The sequence below is a fragment of the Homo sapiens genome, chromosome 2 (assembly GCF_000001405.40).
Source record: "Homo sapiens chromosome 2, GRCh38.p14 Primary Assembly".
NCBI lineage: Eukaryota > Metazoa > Chordata > Mammalia > Primates > Hominidae > Homo > Homo sapiens.
In genome coordinates, this window is record NC_000002.12 from 45252084 (window position 1) to 45258083 (window position 6000).

Here is a 6000-nt window from a genome sequence, read left to right on the forward strand (position 1 = left end):
TCTGGTGCCTTGGCTAGGAAGGCTGGAATGGCAGGGGGTTGATCACGCCCCCTCTCCAGCAAGGTGGTCTGACTTCCTCACTTGGTGGCTCAAGGCTCTAAGAGAGTGAAAGTGGGAGCTGTCAGGCTTCTTAATGGTCTCTTACAAGCAGACTTCTCCTGGCCAAAGCAAATCACAAAGCCAGCCAGGTTCAAGGGGAGGAGAGATACACTCCACTTCTTAACGGAAGGCCCAACATGCACATCCGGAGAGGGGAGGAATTGTTGGCAATCATCTTTGCAGACAGTTTACCATACCATTTACTAGCCCATCAGATGGCTCCTATCATGTGTCTATTGGCCTGAAAATCATGTTATAAAATAGGGGAAGGGAGTGTGTTGACATGCTTGATTATCCATCCCTAATTTAAATTGTTTAAATATTAATATCACTTTATGCATATACAATATAATATGCATGTACGTATTATATTCATAAATACATATCTTTACATCATTGCCTTAGCCAATATCTAGATATCATCAAATGTGATCATTTGTTAGGTTATTATCTTCACCAGTGACTATTGGTAAAAGAGAATGTGGTTGAAATTGGCCCTACAATCCCTTGACGGAATTGTCTTTTCTTGTATTTCACAAAATAATTGGAAATAGAAAATTAAGAATATAATAGGAAAATAAAGAATATAATTATATATAAGAATATAATTCTTAACAGGAAAATTAAGAAAATAATAGTTGTTTACCCCATAGTACTCTCACCCTAAACCCAAATTGGCAGATGGGCAGTGTGCTAGGTGTCAGTTTCAGGATATTGTACCCAGCAATTAGGTTAAGAGCAGAAGTGGAACCAGTGGCTTAAAACCCACTTCTTCCAGGAAATTATAACCCCAACTCCACCGTGACCTCACCCCCACGCCGCATCTGCTTAGCTTGCCTGTCCCCTTCTGGGGGCCGTGTCCACTTGTCTAAGCCCTTTGTTGTACTGAATCACACCATATGATCCCAGCAACCTGGGGGGATCTTCTTTTTTAAAAATTACTCTTCAAACAGAACCCAGCCCTGACTCTGTTCTTGAAACCATGTCAAGAACAGTGTAACTGGGACCACTACTCCAAGTGGTAATTTATTGCCAAATGAGTTTCACTTGTTTTCATATTATAGTTCTACTGTTTAAAATTCCAGGACAACTTTCTTTTGTTATTTATTTAAACAAAATGCCTTGAGTGTTTTTTAAATCCCACAATGATTCATACAAAGCCACGGAGGTATAGACTGTTTGTCCCACGAAATTTACTGGGAAAAAGTTGACATGAATGATGTCACACACTTGACCATGTACACTGTACCCAATTATTTATCCAACAAACATTTATTGAGCACCTAATATGTTCCTGACATGATGTTAAGCACTAAGAAAACAGAAAAATAAGACTCTCGTCTGGCTCTATTAGTCTGAGTAGGGAAGGCAGATATGTGATCTATTATATTATATTGCATAAGATATATTAAGTACTCTAATAATAATAGCAGAAAATACTTAAATAGCACATGTCATGAATCAGGCATTGTTCTAAATGCTTTAACTTATACTGTTCACTCTTCAGAATAACCTTATGATATAGATTCTTTTATTATCCCCATTTTATCAGTGAGGAAGCTGAGGGACAGAGAGACTAAATGACCTGCCCAAGGCAAACCCCTAGTAAGTGGCAGAGCTGGGACTTCAACCCACATGGTCTAGCTCTAGAGTTCATTCTCTTCACCACCACACAGAGGAGATGGCAACTAATTTGTCCTGGGAAGTAGGAAATAGTCCTAGTGAAGAAGGAATGCTAACATGTTAAAGGAAAGGAGGAGTTCCCCCAAGAAAAGAAGAGAAATTTCCAGGTATAAGGATAAACTTGAAGGCGGGGAGTACCTGAGGACTGCTGAGAAAGCTGGCGAGGCTGTCAAGCTGGGGGTGTGATAGAGAGTGGGGAGTGAGCGGGAGAAGAAGCCCTGCGTAGATGACCATGAAGGCCAGGGTCCCATGTCGGGCCCATTTGAGGACAGCCGGCTTTCTCACATCCCCTGGTCCAAGACCTCACCTCTAATTAAGAGCCATGACCTCACAAACACCACGTTGGAATCTGGGAAAGAGAGATGGAAAATAATGGTCATAAAATCTGCATGTGTAGTTTCAGTTTTCAGAGTTCCTTAGCACACATTCTCTTAACTATACTTCATGTTTTACAGTTGAAAAAACAGACGAAAAAATAAACGTTACTCAGGAAATAAGTGCAGAGCCAGGCCTCGGACCCAGGTCTTCAGGTTCCTTAGCTAATGTCCTTTCCACTGTGACCAACAGAGTCCATCTCCATCACTGTACCCCCAAAAATCTCCAAGTGTCCATTCTGCTAGTTCTGGGCCCAGGAGACCATAGTCACACAGATAGGAAAGGACATTGAGAACACTGAGACTCCAGAGGAGGCAAATGTACCCATGGTGAAAATGACATTGGAGTGGGAACCAGGAAACTGAAACTTCAGTCTCATCATTATCACAAAATCACAATGTGACCCACAGGCCTTGGTGTCCTCACCTGTAAAAGAAGAATGCTCAGGATAATTTCCAAAGGGCCTGTCTCGGCCTATCTTTCCGCCTCCGTCACCGTCTACATGTAGCTTAATTAGTTTAGTCAACTGCTGTTTTTAGCCATCACTGAGTGTTCAGTTCCACTCAAAACAGAGCTGAGTTGACAGAACGTGCCATCAGAGCTGGAAGCTCAACATCCGGGACACAGCATCAGAGATGTCTGTATTCTAACCAAGTTCCTCTCTTCAGTTTAAGCTAACCTCGAAGGGCCCAGCATTTCCATGCCCCACTGTGGGGTCTGCTTTGTAGCCTGAAATGAGATATTTGTCTCCTTATTAATAACCTCACACTCTCTGAATGCATTTTAAAAGCTCACCCGGTTCAGCAACCTGTGGGCCTGTCTTTGTTATTGTTGGTTGGAGTCTTGCATACTTGACTTAAAAGTTAGCACCAAATGCAGCTTTATCTGATCAGGAAGGCATGAAATAGAAGGAATGGGTAAATTTCCTTTGCAAAGCAGACACCCCTGGATGTGTTTTTCATGCTAGAGATATGAATAAATGGCAGACGCTGGTTCTCACCAGGCAAAGTGAGTGCCAATGAGGTCACAGGGAGAGCAGTGAGCATGCAAAGATGACAACAAGGACTCCATCTACCTGACCCAAGGGAAGGGACAGAGGAGACCTAGGAGGTAACCAGGGCATAAGTAATTATCTCCAGTGACAGAAAGCCAGGGTTTGGTGAATGGTCAAGGTAAAGTGGAAAGGCAGGCCTTGAATTCAGGTCTCCTAACCCCTGGTCCTGTACCCCTTTCCTCTGCACATGCTGCTGCCAACACTTGGATCCAAACTTGCACTTCGTAAAGGCAGAGAATATTCTGCTCATTAATGTGAGCTCAGGGCTTGGCATACAAATTCAAGAAATTCTTGTTGAATTTCTTGAACTCTAGCTTGACTAAGGAGAGAGGCTGATCTTTATTAATTTGCTGAAGTAGGAACATAAAAAAGTTAAAACCCTTACAGTGCCTGCAGTGCCATATATGAATCTGGCCCCTGTGATCTCTCTGACCTCACCCCCCTCTACTTCCCTCATTGCTCACTTCCCTCTAGCCACTCCGGCTATCTTGTTGTTCCTTAAACATGCCAGACATACTCGTGCCTTGGGGTCTTTGCACTGGCTGTTCCCTCTCCCTGGAATGACGTTTCCTGGATACCCTCATGGCTAATTTCCTCTTTTCCCTCAAGTTTATGTTCAAACCTTACCTTCTGTATAAGGCCTGCTCCAAACACCCTCCTTGAACATGTAACCCACCCCCGACTTCAGTATTTTCCTTCACTCTTAGGCCGCTCTGTTTTTTCTATGGCATTTTTTTGCTTTCTGTATGCGGTTTTTATTTTTTATGATTGCTATTTATTATCTGTTCATACCTATTGGAATGCAAGTTCTATGATGGCAGGGATTTTTTAATTCATTGATGTACCCTACAGGCCTAGAATAGTGTCTGATATGTAGTAGACTCTCAATAAACGTTACTGAATGAATGGTCTGCAAAGTTACAACATAATTTTATTTCATATAGAAGTTTTCTTTCTGGTCTATCCAAGTGCGAATAAGCTAAACTGTGATAGAACCAAGACTGTCTTTGGTGCTATGGGGTTGTCAGGGAGCAGGGACTCTGTTGCCTTTGTCCAGGGCAGAAGGAACAGCTGTGGCCTGAGTCACTGATCTTTTCCCCCTGGGCCTGGGCCCTTTAACTCTAAATAAGGCTCCTGCAAACAGAAATAGAGAGGCAGATGGAAAAAAAAAAAAAAAAAGAATCACCCAACATGGTTAGATGTTCAGGGCGGCTCTCACATCTCAGGAGCAGTAAGGAATAGCACTGAGCATTCTATACACAGCAATTCCAGATGCTAAGGAAGGGACATGATGTAGCCCCAGGTCTACAAATGCAGCAGCGCAGGAGCCAGGACGGGGCCTCAGGAGCAGTCTGATGCAACAGATATTCAGTTCACTGGGCATGGCTTCTTCTAGTCCTCGGCCAAGTGGACTCTGAGCAGTGGGATAGGGATGTGGGGGGAGGTGGTGGGGGAAGAGAGGGTTGCCCAGAAGTTGTGGAATCTCAGCAAGGATGCCAAGCCAGAGGCTGGCTTCAAGCAGCCAGACGTCTGAATGGAGCAAGCTGGAGTCTTGGCCATTGTGGGGCTGAGGCCCTAGGCTGGCCAGTGGGGGCAGGACGCAGCAGGAACAGGAGCTGCAGCTCAGGAACCAGGCTAGCACTGTGCTCAGTTACCTGAAGAGTGGGACAGGCAGCTCAGGAGACCAAGTCTGGAGACCCTCAGCATCCCCAACTGCAGCTCAGGCCTAGGCTGGGAAATGGGGACAAGCGGAGCCATGGCAGGAGAGGAGCCTGGAGCAGCTCCCGCTGTGGAAGCGGGAGGAACATGGAGCAGGGCAGCTGGGCTGGGCCAGGCCGACCCAGGTGCTGAAAGGCTTCTTACCCAGAGGAATGTCTGGGTCTAGTCCCTCTCCGTTTACCAAGGCACTGTGGGGAGAGGCGGCACGGGCTTTCAGAGTCAGGATCAAACTCCAGCCTCACCACAGAGCTGGGCAAGTTCTTACTATGCCAGGGCTTCCTCACTCTTTCCTCGCAGGAGTGCTGAAATAACTGAAGGAGAGCAGCTCCCAAAGCCTCCCCGGTGTCCTGGGGCTCCTTCGCCAGCGCTCTCTGGATGACCAGGTCTCTGACCTCCTCCTGCCTGACCCAACCACAGCCCAGCCTAGGCAGCCTGGAGGACAGGGGACCGCAGCAGGCCTGGACCTGACAGCTGAGCTCCCTCCCCTCCCCCTTGCCTAGCCAGAGCTGGTTTATTTGAACTAAGAATTTAAATGTAAATATGCAACATCCCTTCCCCTCTGCCTCCGCTCAGCGGGAGGGAGCGTGTGTCCACCTCTGTCAGCTGCAGCAAGAGTGCCCTGTGTGCCCAGATCCTATCCACTTTGAAAAGAGCAGAAATATTAGACACAGCTAAATAAGAAAACACAGATTATTGCTGGAGACCCCTAAGGCCTACTTTGTCTGTGCAATAGTTTGTTTTACTTTTCACAGAATTTATTTTGGCTGCAGCCAGATTGATGGTGATTATATCTGAAATCCTCCCACATATCTGTCACATAAACACTTCGTTTAATTCAGGTTTGTAAAACTCTATGGGCCAACGGGGAGCCAGCTTTTGGATTAATTAGCAGACGCTAATGCTGGGCATCTTGTCACATGGTCCAGCGGCTCAAAGGCTGAGGGCACAAGAGGGGCCGAGCAAGCGGCCCTGGCCCATGTCTCAGGAGTTTGATCCTTTAGGCTGGTAAAGGAAAACCAAGGAAGATGTGGAAGGGGAAGAAGGCCGCTCACTGTCCAGCCTGGCTGGGG

At 45.9% G+C, this 6000-nt stretch overlaps 1 long non-coding RNA gene across 1 annotated transcript in view, besides 2 other annotated features; it reads right to left on the bottom strand.

Moving 5' to 3' along the window:
• Window positions 1-2858, bottom strand: part of LINC01121 (long intergenic non-protein coding RNA 1121) — an 80601-nt gene extending 77743 nt beyond the window's left edge. The window contains exon 1 of the long non-coding RNA NR_033831.1: window positions 2584-2858. This is a non-coding gene — a long non-coding RNA (long intergenic non-protein coding RNA 1121). The remainder of the gene's footprint in view (window positions 1-2583) is intronic.
• Window positions 4496-5069: an enhancer, noted in NCBI's record as "H3K27ac-H3K4me1 hESC enhancer chr2:45483718-45484291 (GRCh37/hg19 assembly coordinates)". NCBI's record gives its function as "activates a minimal SCP1, AML or CMV promoter by ChIP-STARR-seq in naive H9 embryonic stem cells {active_cell/tissue: H9 hESC(naive)}" and the evidence as "EXISTENCE:reporter gene assay evidence [ECO:0000049][PMID:30033119]".
• Window positions 5070-5642: an enhancer, noted in NCBI's record as "H3K27ac-H3K4me1 hESC enhancer chr2:45484292-45484864 (GRCh37/hg19 assembly coordinates)". NCBI's record gives its function as "activates a minimal SCP1, AML or CMV promoter by ChIP-STARR-seq in naive and primed H9 embryonic stem cells {active_cell/tissue: H9 hESC(naive and primed)}" and the evidence as "EXISTENCE:reporter gene assay evidence [ECO:0000049][PMID:30033119]".